This window comes from Homo sapiens, chromosome 8 (assembly GCF_000001405.40).
Source record: "Homo sapiens chromosome 8, GRCh38.p14 Primary Assembly".
Taxonomy (NCBI): Eukaryota; Metazoa; Chordata; class Mammalia; order Primates; family Hominidae; genus Homo; species Homo sapiens.
In genome coordinates, this window is record NC_000008.11 from 9,151,676 (window position 1) to 9,173,386 (window position 21,711).

At 44.4% G+C, this 21,711-nt stretch overlaps 1 long non-coding RNA gene across 14 annotated transcripts; it reads left to right on the forward strand.

The window, feature by feature from the left end:
* PPP1R3B-DT (PPP1R3B divergent transcript) lies at positions 50-17,922 on the forward strand. 14 transcript variants are annotated; one of them, NR_183345.1, is made up of 6 exons: positions 50-241; positions 3,291-3,474; positions 4,477-4,629; positions 5,096-5,172; positions 16,098-17,502; positions 17,605-17,922. It is a non-coding gene; the product is annotated as a PPP1R3B divergent transcript (long non-coding RNA). The 14 variants fall into 14 exon arrangements; NR_183344.1 differs by having other exon boundaries at positions 16,101-17,502; positions 17,602-17,922; NR_183351.1 differs by lacking the exons at positions 16,098-17,502; positions 17,605-17,922 and adding exons at positions 5,704-5,765; positions 6,346-6,951 and having other exon boundaries at positions 3,291-3,401.
* The last annotated feature ends 3,789 nt before the right edge of the window (positions 17,923-21,711 follow it).

Sequence of the window (21,711 nt, forward strand, 5' to 3'; positions counted from 1 at the left end):
GGGCGCGCAGCCACGGCGCTGGGGAGCACCGCTTCGCCACGTGATCGGCAGCGCGCCCGGAGTGATCCGGCTGCGGGCCAGGGTCTGGGAAGGGGGTGGTGGGTCGCCGTTTCATCAGAAGCCGGAGGACGGGCGCCAGGGGGCAACTTCCTACAGGAGGGCGTCCCGTTAGAATGACAGGGCTTTTGCAAAAGTCTGACACCCGTGGCACAGAGCGCCCCAGATATGGAGGGTTTCACAGGTAGGTATACTTCAGAAGAAATTTCCTGACTTGAATCGGTTATAATCGCTATCTAAATCTACAGGGCCTCCGCGATGCATATTATGCACCTTGAGATCTATAGAAAATGGTCTTAGAAAAAGAAAAAAATGATGACCTTAAAGAGTTTGAATCAGAGGCTCTTCCTTTCTTCAGTTTACATGTAACTTGATCTGAACTAGCCACTTTAGGCATGAGGCTACCAGTTTTCTAATTTTAATGACCAGTAGAGTTTTAGAAAAAAATTAGAAATTGATATAGGATTGCCAACTTTTTAAACTGCCAAGAAAGACATGAAAATAAACCCTGCTGTCTTCTATTACTATCCTTTTATTTTTATTTTTTAAAGTACACTTTAATAGCAATAACAACGAAATGCAGGAAGGATGTAATGGCCAGTCTTTCCCATTGGATATATTTAGCTTTCTGAAAACTCATTATGTTGAATATGGCATTTGGGAGTTTCTACTGTAAGGGATACAGGCTCAGCTTCAATTTTACTAGGAATGCAAGCCTAAAACAGTGATCGGTGACAATAATCCAATACAAGCCTTTAGCTCTATAGAGAGCTTCCCCGGAGGGAGTCCTGGTGTCTGAAGAATGATCATTAATCTTCTTCCTTCTTTTCTGATGGGCAGATCTGATAAGGGACCACTTGTGAAGTCAGCTATTGGTAGGTGGTTGGCAAATAGCGTTTCTGTGCAATATTCCCTCTGCCAACTTTAAACCCTCTCTTGTTAGGTGATGAGTAGGTTGAAGATTTTTAAGCCAAGTACTGGCTAAGTTTCTCAGGTGTAGTGAGCATGCTGGAGGAGTGGGCAAAGATGAAGAGCCAAGAGGTATTGCAAAACATATGCAGGCAAAGGGTAATCCGAACCACACCGGGAAAGAGTTGGGACAAGTAAATACAGCTTTGTAGCATTAGGGTTTGGGAGCATTTTTCTTGCATAGATCTAGGAAACCATGGTCAATAATTTCCCCTGTGGTTTAGATGACTTTTTCAGACCAGGAGAGAGGGGTTAAACTTAGTTGTGGTACACCACAGCCTTAGTAGGTAGGAGGGTGTCATCTATGAGTTTGAAAAGAGCACAGTCTTTGCCATCAGGATAGAGCTGAGATGCAAGCTCAGAGGAGGGCTTTACCAGGAGACCCAGCAGTGCAGAGCTCCAGAGCCTGAGAGCTGGACCCACCCTCAGACACGATCTTGCCTCACCCTCTCATTTTATGGCAACAAAGAGAGAAAGTGAAAATGGAAAATTTCAATGCTTACTGCATCAGTCAATGCACACCAAGTTCTTTCTATTATATCTGGCATTGGGTTACAGCTTTAATTTTATTTAACAACCCTCCTCCCCCAACCAAAAAAAAAAAAAAAAATGAAACCAGAAAACAGCAGTGGCTAAGCATAGTAAATTATTATTCTTCCATAAACTGTTCTTTTTCTTTTTTTTTAATTTATTTATTTATTTTTTTAATTTATTTATTTTTTATTGATAATTCTTGGGTGTTTCTCACAGAGGGGGATTTGGCAGGGTCATAGGACAATAGTGGAGGGAAGGTCAGCAGATAAACAAGTGAACAAAGGTCTCTGGTTTTCCTAGGCAGAGGACCCTGCGGCCTTCCGCAGTGTTTGTGTCCCTGGGTACTTGAGATTAGGGAGTGGCGATGACTCTTAACGAGCATGCTGCCTTCAAGCATCTGTTTAACAAAGCACATCTTGCACCGCCCTTAATCCATTTAACCCTGAGTGGACACAGCACATGTTTCAGAGAGCACAGGGTTGGGGGTAAGGTCACAGATCAACAGGATCCCACGGCAGAAGAAGTTTTCTTAGTACAGAACAAAATGAGAAGTCTCCCATGTCTACTTCTTTCCACACAGACACGGCAGCCATCCGATTTCTCAATCTTTTCCCCACCTTTCCCGCCTTTCTATTCCACAAAGCCGCCATTGTCATCCTGGCCCGTTCTCAATGAGCTGTTGGGCACACCTCCCAGACGGGGTGGTGGCCGGGCAGAGGGGCTCCTCACTTCCCAGTAGGGGCGGCCGGGCAGAGGTGCCCCTCACCTCCCGGACGGGGCGGCTGCCGGGAGGAGACGCTCCTCACTTCCCAGACTGGGTGGCTGTCGGGCGGAGAGGCTCCTCACTTCTCAGACGGGGCGGCTGCCGGGCGGAGGGGCTCCTCACTTCTCAGACGGGGCGGTTGCCAGGCAGAGGGGCTCCTCACTTCTCAGACGGGGCAGCCGGGCAGAGATGCTCCTCACCTCCCAGACAGGGTCGCAGCCGGGCAGAGGTGCTCCTCACATCCCAGACGGGGCGGCGGGGCAGAGGCGCTCCCCACATCTCAGACGATGGGCGGCAGGGCAGAGACTCTCCTCACTTCCTAGATGTGATGGCGGCCGGGAAGAGGTGCTCCTCACTTCCTAGGTGGGATGGCGGCCGGGCGGAGACGCTCCTCACTTTCCAGACTGGGCAGCCAGGCAGAGGGGCTCCTCACATCCCAGACGATGGGCGGCCAGGCAGAGACGCTCCTCACTTCCCAGACGGGGTGGCGGCCGGGCAGAGGCTGCAATCTCGGCACTTTGGGAGGCCAAGGCAGGCGGCTGGGAGGTGGAGGTTGTAGCGAGCCGAGATCACGCCACTGCACTCCAGCCTGGGCACCATTGAGCACTGAGTGAACGAGACTCCGTCTGCAATCCCGGCACCTCGGGAGGCCAAGGCTGGCGGATCACTTGCGGTCAGGGGCTGGAGACCGGCCCGGCCAACACAGCGAAACCCCGTCTCCACCAAAACCAGTCAGGCGTGGAGGCGCGAGCTTGCAATTGCAGGCACTCGGCAGGCTGAGCCAGGAGAATCAGGCAGGGAGGTTGCAGTGAGCCGAGATGGCAGCAGTACAGTCCAGCTTCGGCTCAGCATGAGAGGGAGACCGTGGAAAGAGAGGGAGACGGGAGAGGGGGAGGGGGAGGGGGAGAAACTGTTCTTTTTCATGGCTGTTAGTGGTAGCACTGTCCATCTTTTTCCTTGCATTTAGGCTCATGTGTGGCTTCTTCAGTCCTCTCTTCATTCACTCATGTATTCATTTATTCAACGACATATTACTAAGGAACCTCCTTAAGCCGGGATGCTGAACGTGGAAAAATAGGTGAAATATAATTTTACCCCTGAGAAGCTCATAGGCTAAAAAAAATATTGATTTGGGATAAATGTATGTTAAGGTAAGTCTCTGTGTTAGGGGAGTTAAGAGGAAGACCTTGTGTGTTTAGCAGCAGAGTTGGGGGGGGAATGGGGATGACCAGAGGCTGATCCTATAGATGTGATCATTGGGATCCTGGAGGAGGAGTTAGAGTTAAAGGGTCATGTCAGGGAACATGGCAGGAATTGGCAAAGACGCAGAGTTCGGTAAGTACCCAGAGAATTTCCACTGTGCTGATTAAAAGTTAGGTCCTCTTTCTGGCTTAAATATTAAACAGTGTTCCTTTATACATGTGTTCACATCAGCTTTCTGCTCATCCAGAAACTTTTAAAAAGGATTGCAAATGTTTTACCTCCTTCTCAACTTAATGCATTTCAAAAACAGCTCAAACCTAGTCCTATTCTCATCGGAGATTTTGGAAGAGAAATTTTTTTTTTTACTTCTAATTTGCTTCTCGTTGAATGAAAATGATTGCAAAATTAATCTAAATAAAAATAACCAGCCTTGGGAGTCAGAACTAAAGAAGAGAACATTCTTTTGCTTGATCAGAATAGCAAGTGGGAAAGACTGCTTCCAAACTGCCCGAGTCAATTTATATTTAGCCGAGTGGAGTTGTTTGCACCTGTCAGAGCCGCAGACGTGTTCTGGCGCATTATGTTACCTGGGGCCCCCTGCCCCTCTTTCATATTTGACTGACATTGACTTGCAAGGTCATGTTTCATGGGGACAGGCAGAGGAATACTTACAAAGGAACTCTATAAGCCTCTGTCTGCAGATAATGTGTCCTCAGCTTGTGAGAAGATCTTGAGTATTTTACACACCAAGCTCCTAGAGCCCATTAGGGCATTTTTTCTTACCGTTGAGGGCTTTTGAGTTCCTGAGTGAGGTTGACAAATGGATCACGTGTTTGAAAGCTATGTGACTACAGAACTGATTTTATTCTACAGCTTCATACTTTGTGCAGTGCTTTGTGTGAGCGTGATATGTTTTAATTTGTGTTGTTTATTCTTTTTTATGATTACAGTTGACTCTTGAACAATGTGGGGGCTTGGGGCACCAACCCCCTGTGCAGTTGAAAATCGACATATAACTTTGACTCGCCAAAAACTTCACTACAATAGCCTGCTGCCAACCTGAAGTCTTACCAATAACATCAACAGTCAATTAAACATATTACGTATGTTATATGTATTCTATGCTGTAGTTTTACAATAAAGTAAGCTGGAGAAAAGAAAATCTTAAGGAAATCATAAGGAAGAGAAAATATGTTGGCTAGGTATGGTGGCTTATGCCTATAATCCCAGCACTTTGGGATGCCCAAAGTGGGCAGATTCATTGAGCCCAGGAGTTCAAGACCAGCCTGGACAACATGGTGAAACCCTGTATCTACAAAAAATACAAAAATTAGCCAGGCATGGTGGTGCACACCTGTAATCCCAGCTACTCAGGAGGCTGAGGTGGGAGGATCATGTGAGCCTGGAGAGGTCAAGGCTGCAGTGAGCTGTGATGGCACCACTGCACTCCAGCTTTGGTGACAGAACAAGACTCTGTCTCAAAAAAGAAAGAAAGAAAATATATTTAGTATTCATTAAGTGGAAGTGGATCATCATAAAGGTGTTCATCTTGGTTGTCTTCACTTTCAGTAGGCTGAAAAGGAGAAGGAAGTGAAGGGGTTGGTCTTGCCGTCTCACGAGTGGCAGAGGCAGGAGAAAATCCAAATGTAAGTGGACCTATGCAGTTCAAACCCAAGTTGTTCAAAGTCATTGTATTAGTATTAGACATTGTGGAAAATACAGAAAAATATAAAGATGAAAATAGAATTAGTGCTACCCAATGATAACTATCAATATAATTCACTGTATTTTCTTCAGTTTAGTCTGTGCATAAACATTATATTATCTGAATCATAGTGTGTATATATAGTTTAATATCTTGATTTTTATTCATGACTGTTTCTCACTTTGAGTATATTAGTATTATAGTTTTCCTGACATATGCTTTTTAATGGCTGCATAATATTCTTTCACATAGAGAGATCATAATTTATTTAACTATTTTCTTATTGTGGGACACTTAGATTTTTCTTCCCAAATTTTCTTTATTGTAAATATGTTAGGTTGGTGCAAAAGCAATTGCTGTTTTTGCCATTAAAGGCAACAGCAAAAACCAAAATTACTTTTGCACCAAACTAGTGCTTCAATAAGCATCTTCATATTTAAATTTTGTCCACATTCCTGCCTATTTCCTACAGAGTATAGATGTTCTTCAGGCTGGATGCATATTGCCAGATTTGAATACTAACCTTTTAGGAAGGTTAGTATTGACCTTTCATTCTTGCTACTGGGGAAAATTAAGTTAAATAATCTCAATAAGGTCTTGGTTTGTGGACTTGGGGAAAATTATAGCTCATCTTGCAAAATAGCCATATGAGAATTTTTACGAATGAATCATTTACTGTATGCCTGGGTAAAAATAGCGGCACACCTTATCTAGTGCTTTAGCTTTGAATCTCAAAGTACACAGCCAATTTGTATTATGAATAAGGACTTCATAACCCATATTGTCGACTTAAATGGTATTAAGTGGTGGCTGGTCAGGGAGAAGGTGGAGAGGCTAGAAACCAGGGAATACCACCTTGCCAAAGGCTTAAATACCATTAGGCAGAACCAGTATATATTTATATTCTTTGCTTATTCATCCTCTGTTCATGACTAGTGTGGTCATAAATTATATTTAAACCTGTAACTTTATATACATATAATGCAAGGCATAGCAACATTGCATGCAGAATTTCATGACAAGTGGCCTGCATTTTTGTGAGGAAAAAAAAATATGTCAAGCTGCTTTTAGGACTGTAACTAACCACTTGGCTATTGCATGCCTTGTGCCTTAGGTCTGGGATGTTTCTCTTGCATGCCTCTGGAATCAAATGACTCTGATACTGCAAGCACTTCAGAGTATGTATAAGCAATTTCAGCTGGTTCCGTCCTGATATTTACAAAACTGCCTGGATCATACTTACAACCATGCAATGATATATATTTCTATTAAGAAAGCAACGATTTGCTTGAAAGATGAAGGAAAACAAACTAAGTATTTATGTACAATGAGTCCTAAGTGTACACCACTATGTTTTCCATCAGCTTTTGATTTTCTGTCACTCCTCTTTTTCTTTGAAATTTAGAGTCAGAAGTGAACTGACTTCATGGTTTTCCTCATGATTATTTGATATCCTCTAGGGAATCATGACTTAAAGACTGCATTCTTCCTTCTCAAAACTCATGTTAAAGATTTCTCCATGCAGAGCCACAGGCTATTTTGGAGTTTGAAATGGAGCAGTTAAAACTAGGAGGTCACACACGTTGAGATTATTCCTTCACTGCATCTCGCCCGGCTTGTGTGCCTGAGGAGACACGCATCTCAGAGGGCAGAGGGGCAGCCGTTGTCTAGTGAGGTTATTTCACCTACTATATAATAAAATGTACAGGACAATAGCGCATTTGTTATAAAGGCTACTCGAGTTTGTTATACAATTATTCTTCACCAAAAACAACAACCTGATAACTCACTATTAGTATGAGTCTTACTTGGTAGATAGCCAGGACTATAAAATATACAAAGCCAAACTTTGCCATTATTTCCATCTAAACCTTAGAGATTGCTATAACCATATATTCAGACTTAACAAAGATATTTGGCACCATTCCCATTTTCTTTCTGTTAATTCTTTCGTCATTTTCAAATGCAAAATCCTCCCAAGTTGGGGGTCGTTTGTCTCTTATTTTAGTTGTGGCCCTTTGTTCCAAAAAGAGAATTAACTTATCCTTTCTTCCCTGAGTTTAACCCTTATTCTTTTTTCTTCCTTCCTCCTTTTTAAAAGTATTCCTCCTGAGTTTATAAAATCTAGAAATTTCTCTCTTCTAATTTTGTAAGATTAGTAAATAAGCAATTCTGTCATTCTCCCCTCTTATAAATCAGCACTGTTTATCAATTTTTAAGAACAGTCCCAAGACATGGTTTATGAAAAGAAGGAACCGATTGCAAAATAAGCGAGGAAGTTTCTGATTTAACTTCCTGCTGAAATTCCTAGGAAGAAAGACAAAAAGCTGAAGACTCACATAACCCTCATGCCCTAGAGATAATGAAGTGTAGGGTAAGATCTCAGTCACCTGGTGGTCTTGGATGAGTATGCTGACTCTGCCACAATGAGCTGTGGGCGTGGGGGAAATCACCTGCCCACTTTGTGCCTCTGTTTCCAGATCTGCAAAATGGGAATAGTAATGCCTGCTTGGTAGGGTTATTCTGAGGATTTCCTGGAACAATATTTATGTATAATCAGGATGACTTGCTCCACAAAACCCAAGTGCAAAAAAGTCACATTTCTTGATGATTCTAAATACAGTGAAATCTGGATCTTAACCCTCCACCTACTAAGGCCAGCAAGAAGCTTAATGTCAATTGGCTTATGTGGCTCATGCAACTGGGAACAGGTCCTTTGTTCCTCGACTCTGTGGTTACAGCCCTTAGCACTGCTCCTTCTGCAGCCCAGCCTCTGTGCAGGTCAGGTCCTCACTACCCACTGGAGCTACTGCTCAAGGCAGGCTTTGGTGATGCCCACTTGGCAGGCCTGACAGGAAGCTCATGCACCCCCAGAGAGAAGCCTCTTCCAGAATGTTGGACTCAGATGGGGTGTCCTACCGCCTGCAGAAACTTCAGTCCCGCAGCTCGCAGACTTTGGGGATTCACCCCCTTTCTGGGGTGGATCTTTCTGTAAATCCACAGAAGTACCAGGCTGGAGCTCCTCCCACTCTTGGACAGTTCTGGCCCCTTCTTGGGAGGGCCCAGAATTCCCAAACACTTTATGGAAGCAGTTTCTCCAGAGGCTCCTGGAACATGAAGGAGCTGTTAGCACCACTTTGCGGCTAAAAGAGCCAAGACCTTGGAAAACAAAGACTTGCCTTTCCCTCCATTATAAGATGTTGGGGTATATGAAAATGAAACACAAATTTACATGCTGACACATTTGTAAACTATCAAGTGTATGGTGACTATTCCAAGGGCATCACCAGTTTGCCAAATTTCCCCGTGAAATAGTTTTACTACAGGAAACAAAAGAAAATTTTAAAAACATCTTGGATTGCAGGAAGACATGGTCTATGAATTACAGAAAACCACACACAGAGATAAGATGAAAAGTTAGGAAGACAAGATACAAAGAGAGATGCGATAAGAATGGATGTCAAAAAAAAATGCAATCCAAGAATTAAAATCCCTCATGGAGGTGGAAAGAAGCAAAATTGACAGTGTAGAAAATGGAAACGTTGATTTGGAGGTGAACCTTAAGAGGTCTTTTACAGGAAAAGAGCATAGAGTTAGACATGATAAGTGAAAATAAATAGTTAACTAAGAAAAGTGATAGATTCTGATAAATATAAACAATGGGAATTCAGTTTAAGACTTAACAGTATTACTAATCAAGAAACCAGAACAACAGAAATAAGTGATAATGACTTTATTGAAGAAAACATTTTCAGGCTGGAAAAAGACTGGAGTATATAGATTGACTGGGCTCACAAATTCCAGGTAAAATCAATTTTAAAACACCCACACCTAGACACATATTGACCACATTTTTTAGTTACAAAGACCAAAAAAAAAAAAGAAGAAGAGGAAGTGCTGCAAGTTATCCACACAGGAAATACCACCCCCAATCCCAAACAAGTTGTTGATGGAAGAACAAATACCAGACTGACTTCTGACCTCTTTGTACTACTACAGTCAGAAAACAATGGAGAAGCATCTAAAAGCATTTTATATTCAGCCAAGTCAACTTTCATGTGTAAATGACCTTGCTTCCTAATACCCCCTAGTTTTATTACCATAATACAGCAAGGAGACTGATTAGTACTCAAAAGAGTAGTTATTGTATCTTATCCACTATGGTAATTTAGTTTCTTGATGAGATTCTAAAGTTGTATGAAAATGCCAATTTTATGCCTCCCCATCTCTCTGTGTGTTTTAACTTTGGTTTTAACGTTCCTCTAATCTGGCAGTGGTAGTGTTATTTGCTGCTGAGAAAAGAGGTCTCTCTCCCAATGACTTCTTTAACCTCATCTCTCCCACTCCAAGGGTGGTCCTTTTGTTTGCCTTGCCACTGGGAATTTCTACTTTGTGGGCGTAGTGTTTGCTCAGGTGGAAGAGCTCCACATAGCAAGCCTTTGTCCCTTAATTTTACTCCAAATGCCAAGACTTTGATTTATGAATTATATTGAAAAACTGGCGATTATTAGAGTTAAAAGGCCTCTTACATCTTCTAGGCTAGCATCCTTGGTTTACAGGTGAAAAAAACAGACCGAGAAAAGAGCCATCACTTGTCTAGAGTCAAGGATTCAGATACCGTTCGTGTTAGGACCAGCTAGGCTCCTGGTTTTTCTGCATCCCGCACCAGACTGACACTGATGGACAAGATCTATTGGCAGGCCCAAGTGATCCCATCTTCACCATGATGAAGAAGTTCGTGAGTGGCAGGGCCCAAAGCCTGTGGAATGGCCAAAGGCAAGCTAATGCCCGGTAATCAAAAAGTCAGTGAATTTCCAACAATAAGCAGAGGCACACCTTCAACATAGCACCTCAGAGCCATTGAAAACTCAAGGTATTCATTCTAGAAAAGTCCAAGGATACAGAAGACATGCTTTAGCCAGTTTTTCAAAGTTCTTAGAAATTTTGACTTTGGGCAGGGGCACAGTAACTCACCCCTGTAATCCCACCTACTCAGGAGGTTGAGGAGTTCAAGACCAGCCTGGGATGTATAGTGAGACCCTGTCTCAAAACAAACAAACAAACAAAAAGAAAGAAAGAAAGAAAGAAAGAAAGAAAGAAAGAAAGAAAAGTTTGACTTTTAAGGGTTCTAGTAACAAAAACTTCCTTTCTAAGCAAGCAGACTTGGCTCATGACACCTGACATCCTTTCATCAAACACTGGTCCAAATTCAAGGGGCAAAATCATCTCCTGCATTTGTAGATTTCTTAGCTTCTCTCCTTAGGTGAGTCACAACTCTTTAGGTTTCAAAAGAGAGGCTGCTCCAACTAGCCTAATCAAACCAGAAGAAGAAATGAATTGGGTCATAACCAAATACCAGGAAGGCAGGGGCAGAACTGGGCCTAGGATTAACTTCTCCACATCACAGGGAACATGGCTGCTCACATCTCTGGGCTAACATCAACCCCACTTAAAGAGCAGAGAGGAAAGAGGGCATCTTCCACCTGTCGTCAATGTACAGAATTCCCAGAGGGGACACTGATGGCTGCGTAACTGTGGACAAAGGGATGACCCAGCCTGGTTCCATGCTCACCACTCTGTTGAGGAACATTTTCTGTCAGTAAATTAAGGAGAATGAGCAGGAAATGGGCACAGAGCAGATCTACACAATAGCCACTACATTATCCATAGCCAGTGTGGGTTAGTACGGAGTTTATTATCCACTTGTTATTGTCAAATACGTTTTTCCAAGAACGGAGAAAAGAAATTAATAATTCCCCTACATTGTCTTTACCTTGGCCATGACCAGGCCCACTTCTGGAAGGTACGGGACACTCTCCAGCCTGCCTCCTGCTCAGGAAAGACTGCCAGAGAGCATGAGGGCTTCGGAACCTGCATGCGTAAGCAGGTGTCCGCTGTGCTTTGTGGAGACTTTCTCCTCTCTCGGAGCTCTTTTGTATTAGTCCGTTTTCATTCTGCTGATAAAAATCTACCCAAGACTGGGTAATGTATAAAGAAAAAGAGGTTTAATGGACTCACAGCAAAGTTTTACGTGGCTTGGGAGGCCTCACAATCATGGCGGGAGGCAAAAGGCATGTCTTACATGGCAGCAGACAAGAGAGAATGAGAGCCAAGCAAAAGGGGAAACCTCTTATAGAAACATTAGATCTCCTTAGACTTCTTCGCTACCACCAGAACGGTATGGGGGAAACCGTCCCTGTGATTCAATTGTCTCCCACCGGGTCCCTCCCACAACACGTGAGAATTATGGGAGCTACAATTCAAGATGAGATTTAGGTGGGGACACAGCCAAACCAAGTCACCTTTCCAGGGGTCTTGATGGTCTGTCTCCCTTCCCCTAGATAAGATAGCAGTAAGGAGGGCAGGATGGTGTGTTGAGGGCTTAGAAAACAAGTTCACTTCATACCAGGTGAGAAACAAACTCATTGTCGGGTCATTACTGGTGAGGAGACACTCACGTTCAAGTCTCCAAGATGATGCCTCATGCTGTATTGGGCAGGCCGTGGGAATGTGCGTCAGCCTTGGAAGGTGTGGCCGTGAGCAGTGTCAGCAACCCAGGTGAGACGTTGTCTCTGCCATCGACAAACTGGCTGGTGCATTTTGAGCAAAGCAGGAGCCATGACCTCCACGGGTGAAAACCCTCTGGTCAGCTCATTACTATGAGCTGACTACTACCTCCCAGGTTTATGTGCCACAGCCTCAATCTAAACAGTAAGGACTATTACTTTTTGAGCATTCTTGCTGCACAGACACTTTACATACTTGATACCAATATCCTGAAAAGGAGGTATTTTTGTTTAACCCCCTTTCATAGGTAAGAAAAGTGAAACTCAGAGAAGTTAAGTAACTCACCTAAGATCACACAGCAGTGAGTAGCAGAATCTTGATTCAAAGTAAGATCTGACCCCAAAGTTTAGGCTGTTTACACCACACGAGGCTGCAGCTCTCAGTGAGCAGATGAAAGAGGGTGATGGTCTCACTTTGGGGACACCTTGGCTTTCTTCCCCGATCTGCTCGATTGAATTATAGGGCCTTCACTGGGCCTCAGAAGAATAAATTTGGGATTTTGAAAACATAGCCCTTAATTCAATTTGACTGCTAGGACAACCACCTCATTCACAGGCAGGAGGTAAAGAGAGGATGATTAGGTTACTCGTGGTGGCTACAGCTCTGGCTGGAGAAGGGGAGGTTTACAGCCTCCCCGAATGGCTGCTGCAGGGCAGGCAGGAAGGAAGTCTGGGGAGGTAGAGAAGAAAACCATGAGAGGGGACACTTGGGGAGACAGGTTTCTGAGGTTTGTCTGGGGTGCAAGGGAAAGGCCACACAATGGATGAACAGATGCCAAATATCTCTGTTTCCAGGAGGAAGCCACACATGGAAAAAAATGCTACCCTAAACAGTTCTCAAGTACACCCACGTCCTCAAACAGCATGGAAAATAAATTAACAAATAGCCTGCTATAAACACAGTGGAGGTGGGAAATTCTATAGTAAACCAGAAAGGAATTCATTTTATTTAAAACTGATTTGAGAAGTTTGTCTAGGGTGGGTGAATACTTTGAGGCCAGGGCAGCTAGACATCACTGACATCTCTGGCTTTGTCACACCTGGAGGCCCAGAGCTCAATGTGCAGATAGTGTGTCACACTTGGGTGCATGGTTTGTGGGAGTTAAGAGAGGAGTGGAGGCTCTTGAGTGGCTGAGCCCTATCCTTATCTGCAGCCTCTCTTCATGGCCCCCAGCCAGGACTGGCACTTGTCACATGGCATGTGAAGCAAGTGACTCTTGCAAGGAGAGAGTGTGATCAGGACGGGGGGACAGTTTGCCAGTTGGTCATCTTGGATGTGAATCCTATGTCCCACTGACCTTTGTACCTTGAGAACTCCCTAGATCTCAAAATAGAGTATTTCCTGCCCGGGGGGATCATACCAGCCTCAAAACATCTTGCCAAAACAAAAATTAACTTTCATTTGAATTTACAATAATTTAAAACATGAATATGTGTCATCTGGCATTTTTATAAATAAGATGATATGTTGCAGAAACAAGTAATGAAAATTTCAAGGCTTTCCAGATCACTGGAAGGTCATGAGTTTAGGGTTTTTTTGTTTGTTTGTTTGTTTTGGTGGATTCTCACTCTGTCACCCAGGCTGGAGTGCAGTGGCATGATCTCAGCTGACTGCACCCTCTGCCTCCCAGGTTCAAGTGATTCTCCTGCCTCAGCCTCCAGAGTTGCTGGGATTACAGGTGCCCACCACCACATCCAGCTAAATTTTGTTTTTTTTTTTTTGAGACAGAGTCTCGCTTTGTTGCCCAGGCTGGAGTGCAGTGGTGCAATCTCGGCTCACTGCAAGCTCCACCTCCCAGGTTCACGCCATTCTCCTGCCTCAGCCTCCCGACTAGCTGGGACTACAGGCGCCCGCCACCACGCCTGGCTAATTTTTTGTATTTTTAGTAGAGATGGGGTTTCACCGTGTTAGGCAGGATGGTCATCCAGCTAATTTTTGTATTTTTAGTAGAGACGGGGTTTCACCATGTTGGCCAGACTGGTCTCGAACTCCTGACCTCAGGTGATCCACCCACTTCGGCCTCCCAAAGTGCTGGGATTACAGGCATGAGCCAATGCATCCGGCCGAGTTTAGGGTTCTGTAGGGATTGTGGAAAAACCTCTATTGGGACAAATGTGCCTACTGCCTTTGTGGCCACTTCCAGCTACAGAACAGTGAGTCAGAAGACTCTACACTTGTGCCACTCACTGGCAGGGATGCCCACCTCTCCTCCTCCCAGGGGAAGCAGGACATGGGTCGTGGCCACCTTCCTTACAGTGCACAGGGGCCTCAAGATTTCCTAACTCTCTCTGTTTGGCAAATATTTAAAGACCTTTTTATTTTTTTGAGACGGAGTCTTGCTCTGTCACCCAGGTTGGAGTGCAGTGGTGCGATCTTGGCTCACTGCAAACTCCGCCTCCTGGGTTCACGCCATTCTCCTGCCTCAGCCTCCCAGGTAGCTGGTACTACAGGCGCCCGCTACCAAGCCCAGCTAATTTCTTGTATTTTTAGTAGAGACCGGGTTTCACCGTGTTAGCCAGGAGGGTCTCCATCTCCTGACCTCGTGATCCGCCCACCTCGGCCTCCCAAAGTGCTGGGATTACAGGCGTGAGCCACCGTGCCCGGCCCTAAAGACTTTTATCAATGTATTCAGTACCTATTTGTTTAAACAACACTTTTGATTAAGAGATGACCAAAATTGGATACAGGAAAATTATTTTGTTTCTAGAGAGGCATTGGAGAAAAGGTGTGGTTGTGTAAAGAAACAGGGAAAAACAACAAGCCAAGTAAGCAACTGTTCCCCAAAGTGCTTGGGTAGAACACTATTCTTGAGAGAAGGTCATCACAAAAAGTATTCTGGGATCAAAACCAGGCTCAGTCTGTCGTTGATGGGCATTTGGGTTGATTCCATGTCCTTGCTATTATGAATAGTGCTTCAATGAACATTGGCGTGCCTGTATCTTTGTAAGAGAATTTATGTTCCTTTGGGTATATACTCGGTAATGAGATTGCTGAGTCAAATGGTATTTCTGGTTCTAGATCTTTGGTATGTATACACCATGGAATACTATGCAGCCATAAAAAGGAATGAGATCATGTCCTTTGCAGGGACATGGATGAAGCTGGAAGCCATTATCCTCAGCAGACTAATGCGGGAACAGAAAACCAAAAACCACTTATAAGTGGGAGCTGACATCCTGGATAACACGGTGAAACCCCGTCTCTACTAAAAATACAAAAAATTAGCCAGGCACGGTGGTGGGCACCTGTAGTCCCAGCTACTCAGGAGGCTGAGGCAGGAGAATGGTGCGAACCCGGGAGGCAGAGCTTGCAGTGAGCCGAGATGGTGCCACTGCACTCCAGCCTGGGCGACAGAGCGAGACTCTGTCTCAAAAAAAAAAAAAAAAAAAAAAAAAAAAAAAGTAGGGGCTGAACAACGAGAACTCATGGACACGGGTTGGGGAACAGCACACTGGAGCCTGTCGGAGGATGTGGTGGCGGGAGGGAGAGTATTAGGGAAAATAGCTAATGCATGCTGGGCTTAATACCTAGGTGATGGGTGGACAGGTGCAGCAAACCACCATGGCACATGTTTACTCATGTAACAAACCTGCACAGGGACCGCAGAACTAAAAATTAAACTTAAAATTTTTTTTTAACAGCCTCAGAGGAATCCTGTATTGTGGGACTCTGGCTAGCTTTATTTAACCTGGCACTTCACAAGCTGACCCAAGATCTCACGGTTCTTGCAACGCTGCATTTTAGTGTATGGAAAGGTGGGAAAGAGATCAGAATGAATATAGATGAGTATCTTATTCCCATTTAGGCTGCTATAACAAAATACTGTCCACAGAGTGGCTTGTAAATAACACACACATCTATTGCTCACAGTTCTGGAGGCTGGAAAGTCCAAGATCAAGCTGCAGGCAGCTTTGGCGTCTCGGGAAGTTTTGCTTCCTTGTAGACAGTGCCATCTTGCTGTATCCTCATGTGGTTGAAGGGGCAAAGGAGCTCTCTCTGGCCTCTTTTGTATGGACCCTAATCTCACTCATGAGTGTTCTGCCCTCCCATAACCTAATTACCACCTCTTGGGTCTAACTCCTAATACCATCACCTTGGGGGCTAGGACTTCCACATATGAATTTTGGGGGCATGCAAACATTCAGACCATAGCAGTGAGCATGAGTGAAATTTTAGGAAGTAAATCCTAACAGAATTGGGAAATACATCATGCATGATTCAATTCTGCGCACTCTTAGGCCTCAAGAGAACAAGGAGGGAAACTAACAGATTATGTGCTGAGCAATTTTTTTTCTATAGCAGGACAGGCAGAAGGATGCCTTCTTCCACGCAAGCACTGAACCAAACCACAGTAGAAGAAACAGAATCAAATGAGAGAGATTCAACTGACCAGTTTAAGGCTTATCAGAAAGGAACAAAGACATACCAAAATAGACCATCCTTGCACAAACACAGACACACAGGGACAAGGCACAAGTGCATCACTTACACCAGCACAGGTGCTAGCAAGAAACCCATTCATATGAACACTTTATGCGGATTTTAAAGGGAAAACTCTTCTTTTAAACATAAAGGACTTTTATCTTTGTAGTATCCACATTTATTCACTCATTCATTTGATGCAATTTATGTGCCAGATGCTTGGTCAGGACTGAGGATGTGTAGTGGACAAGCCAGGATTGCTGCAGTGATGTGCTCACCATTGGAGAGAGGAATGACTGTCAACAAATCACTACAGGCCCATATGTTAAGTTCTTTAATAGTACGGTGACTGGAACTACGGGACGGAACCCAAAATGCAGTCACCCAAACGCATCATGTCCATTTTGATCCCTACAGCAATTAAGCCTTGCTTTCACAGCCGCTGAAGCAGACCAACAGATGGTTGTTTAATTGTTTATAAAACCAAACATTAACTACTGGGCTTGGCAACGTATCTCTTCTCCTGAAGCCTCTCAAAGCAGATATCAGACAACACTCTGGAAGATGCTGAGAAACATCAAAAGATCAAAGGTCGAATCTTGGAATTCAGATCTGTCATTGACCTGCCTTATAACTTCTGTCAAACTGCAATGTGGTGAGATTGTTCACATGTTTCACAGCAGTGTTGCATGGAATGACTAATGGCCTTCAGTTGGTTCCTGTGTAGATGGTAAAATGGAAAGCTGTTCACAAAACCCCTTTCTAGCAAAGATGCGTCTCTGCCAAGTCACATATGTTGGCCAGAGGTGTGTTTAGGGAACTTGGCCCTCTTCAGAAAAATACAGTCTCCTTGTTCCTGGCCAGATTTTAATGTTGCTCTACCTTTTAGCTTATGAAGCTTCAGGCTGTCTGTACAAATGCTGTCTGTTTTAATAGAGTGCTAATTGCAGTAACGGGCAGGGCACTTATGTCTGTAATCATCACATCAACGCCACTTGGCTTAATCCTTGAAAATGGACAACAAGCTATTACTAAACCATAAAAATCACAAATTGTGCGTGCTGACCTAGAGACACCTCCAATCAATGAGAAGCAGCCTGAGAGCCACCAAAGGCTCTTCAATGTCCAGCTGTCACCGACATTCCCCAAGAACTTCAAAGATTTTAAAGGCCACCATTTCCATGCACGTGTCTCTTGGCGTTGCTGCTGTTTACACTATGTGGAAGCTGGACACTCAGCCTGTTTCGGGGGGACCCAGGCTAAAGGTTCTGCCCTAGGTGTGGTAAGTATCTATTGATGCGTAGTGTGAACACAGCCTTTGTAGCTTCCCCACCCTCTGCGTGGGGAATGGATAGCTCTGATTGCAATCTTCCTTCCCTAGCAGCCTCTTCCTTATCCTCCTGGGTTCAGCTTCAACGTCACATGCCCAGACTTTCAGCCTCCAGGACTTATACCAGCACCCACTCTCCCTCCTGATTCCCAGGCCTTCAGCCTTAGACTGGGAGTTATAGGATTGGCTCTCCTAGTAAAGGGTAAGATAGATGTATTCTTTTATATATAATATATAACACAATGGCTCTCTGTCTGCATGGGTTCTGAATCTTCTAATTCAGCCAACCATGGATCAAAAATGTTCAAAAAATAGAAAAATAACAATACAACAATACAAATAATACAAATTAAAAAGACAGTATAACAACCATTTACATAGCATTTACATTGTATTAGGTGTTATAAGTAATCTAGAGATGATTTAAAATATAGAAGAGAATGTGTATAGGTTGTATACAAATACTACATCATTTTATTTGATGGACTTGAGCATCTGAGGATCTTGGTATCTGTGGGGATCCTGGAACCAATCCCCCGTGAGTACCTAGGGATGGCATGACTATGTATAATATATCCTTGTAAAGGGGTTAGCCAGATAGTGGGAGCCCTCGTTTCCTTACAAAGGAATTTGAAGTTGATCTGGTCAGTGGAAAGTTTCTGGAAGGTATTGCATGATTAGAATTTTGTTTTACACACACCACACATGCACACACACACACACAAGACAGACCAATCTGTGTGGAAGAAGTAGATTAGAAGAACACAGGATTAGAAAGCTTGCTTGATAACAGGTCACAAATGCTGCCAAGTGTGTAGTCAAAAAAATCTGGACTTATTTTCTAGACCAAGTGTCCAGATCTGAAAAGTTTTCAGAGGTTGCATAAGTAGCAAATGTGTGAAGTCTCTGAATGTGATTTCCCTGTTTAAATTTAGAATGTCAAAATGCTGCATTTTTCCAACCGACCAGTCACATCAGTGGCTGACAACTGCTCTGTGAGCTTGATCCTTGCTGTAGGAAATGCGGAGCCATAGGCGATTCTTGGGGAGGGGGAATTGTAGCAGATGCTGTTGGTGTTCTCTGCCCAGATCCCATTGGTCCACTCTTAGAGTTGCCTGCAGACAAGTCCCCTTGAGCTGGTATCTTCCAGCATCTCTGCCTGACAGCATTCTCTGGGCTGGCCACCTAGAGACAGGCTAGAAGTGCCAGAACATTACAGCGTTGGGAGCATCCCTCAACCAATGAAGGACAGAAGCTGCTGGATAAACACCCCAGCCTTCCGGCTCCATGATAGGTCATTGCTGAGGTTTATGCAGTTTTTTGAGGGGTCCTGGAAGAATTGAGCCTCAGTTGCTCACAGCAGCATTTTTGTCATAAATGCAACTTTATTAGTTGTCTTAGGTGGGGTCACCTGAAAAACAGACCCTGCCATATGCAGTTGCGTGCAAGAAGTTTATTAGGGAATTCCTTTGAGACCAACGCCTATGAAGAAGAAAGTAGGACTGGATAGAAGGTAGTCGTTGAACTGTGGTGCTATTGAAGCTTGAGAGGATCCCACAGGAAGCTCTGGCCCTGGGATAGTCCTTCAGAGTTGACCTATTGAGACCAAGGTGGGGTCAGGGCTTTATATCCTCTATTGATTAGTCAGTGGATGTGGCTGCCCCAGGTTGGGACCTGGGTTAAGGCTGTTCTCTGCTGCTGAGAGCAGTTCCTGGCTCGAGACTCAGCTAAAAGTCATCAACCAGCAACACTCCCAACAGCTGGGAGAGTGAGGACCTCAGTCCTGAGGGGGAATCTCGGCAGTGCACCATACGATTGGCCTCCCTCTCTTCCCTGACTTCCTTCTTTAACCCCTCTCTATCCTAGCCTAGGGGTCATCTTCCAAATGAACTACCTACACCCAAATTCTTTTTTTTTTTTTTTTGAGACGGAGTCTTTTTCTGTCACCCAGGCCGGAGTGCCGAAGGGAGTACTGAACCAGTTTTTTTTGTTTTTTTTTTTTAAGATGAGGTCTCGCTCTTGTTGCCCAGGCTGGAGTGCAGTGGCACAATCTCAGTTCGCTGCAACCTCTGCCTCCCAGGTTCAAGCAATTCTCCTGCCTCAGCCACCCAGGTAGCTGGGATTACAGGCATGCACCACCACGCCTGGCTAATTTTTGTATTTTTAGTAGAGACAGGGTTTTGCCATGTTGGCCAGGCTGGTCTCGAACTCCTGACCTCAGGTGATCCACCTGCCTCGGCTTCCCAAAGTGCTAGGATTACAGGCATGAGCCACCACACCTGGCCAAGCCTGGAAGTTTTAAGCTGTAATTGGTGAGTTCCTTGTAGCACACCGTGGTGCTATAACCCATATCCTGAGAAATAAAACAATTAGATTTTGGGAGGCAGTTCACAATTACATTCTCTCTGTGGATAAAATTTTATTTAATTTTCCAAACCCGTTTTAAGGATACAATGATCACTGAGTTTCTAAGATATATTAGATCGGCCCAGATGCAGCAGGAATTTTGTTTGCATATTCCACAGGTGCATTTGATAGATGTTGGAAAAGCTTGAGCAAAAAAAAAAAAAAAAATCCCTAACTGCAAGCATTTGTCAACCCAGAACAAGGTCTTCTGCTTTCCATATTCATGACGTTTGACATCAGACACATCAGATAAAACCAGAGATGGCTGGGCAGGCGGAAGGAAACGAGCCCAGCAAGGGGTCAGCCGCAGGAATCGTCCCAGCTCTGGCTGTAACTTGGGTTTGACCTTGGCAAGTTGCTTGACTTCTGTGGTCCTTTGTTTCCTCATCTGGAAAGTGAGAGTCCCAGCCCCGGGAGCTCTGGTTGAGAGAAAGTCTGTGATTCATCTATAGCCAATCCATGTTTACCCCCAAATTCATCAGGCTGAGTCCTCATCAATAATTTATATCCACCTGGAGGTCAGCTCTGCATAGAATCAAGTTTCTCTTCTTGTTCTGCTTCCAGTGGAATTAAAGTCCCTTGGCCCCTGACTTCTAATGACACCATCCAAAGTCTGTAAGTTTTAGAGGTTGCAGTTGATGACATCTAAGGTGCTTTCAAAGCCCAGCATTTCTAGGAAAGGGAGCATCAATATTAATTAAGTGCTGGCAGCTCTCAGGATTCCTTAGTATTCTAAAAAACGTGCAAGCTCTCAGGTCCTGTGTGCCCCTGAGGAATTTGCATATACCTGCAGATCTGGTTACTGTATCAATTGGGCCACATCCAAAGGCCACAACACTCTCCTTCCTGCATTTTAAGTGTGTTCTTACTGAAAATTCTGATGACTACCTAAAGAATTAAGCAAACTCCTGGCCAAAACCATTTAAAGACAATGGGTTAACTTGAAAAACTTATGACTTATGGTTAACTTGAAAACAGTTATGACTGTCCCTAAATGATAAACCAGAGATCAGTGCTGGGTCATACATTTCTTCAAATGTTGTGCCTTAAATAGCTGCAGAAGGACACAGTAAGGCAAGGGAGAAATATCTAGACTCCATCCAGAGACGAGCTTCCTTTGGAGCTGATTCCTTAGCCCAGGGATGGGTATGCCCTTGGCTCTTGGGATCCTAGACTTGTCATAGGCTCCTCTGCTCTTCCTCCTCTCGTTTCCAGGGTCTGCTTTCTCTGTTGCTTTCTCAAAGGTTGGTAGCCTTCCAAATTCGCTCATCACCCTCTTCTTTCATCATTTTATTTACTATTCCAAGGCTCTTCTCTTTTCTTGAGTTAAAAATGCCTCTGTTGCTGATGAGAAGCATACGTTCTCCCCAGAAGCTCATACACCGGTGGAAAAAGCAGGAGTCCACGTGCACCCCACCCAGCACATGCTCCTGCAGTCTGAAGCCACGTGAATAGCACCACTGACCACTCTGTTGCCTGAGCTACAAACCGGGATCCACCGCAGATTTCTTCCCTCTCACCCCTAGCAGGTGACCACTTCCTTTTCAAGCCACCTCCCTTCTCTCCGCTGCCACTTTCTTTCCATCTCAACTGCTGCTGCCTTAATTTTGTACTTTTTTTTTTTTTTTCGAGACGGAGTCTCGCTCTGTCGCCCAGGCTGGAGTGCAGTGGCACGATCTCGGCTCACTGCAAGCTCCGCCTCCCGGGTTCACGCCATTCTCCTGCCTCAGCCTCCCGAGTAGCTGGGACTACAGG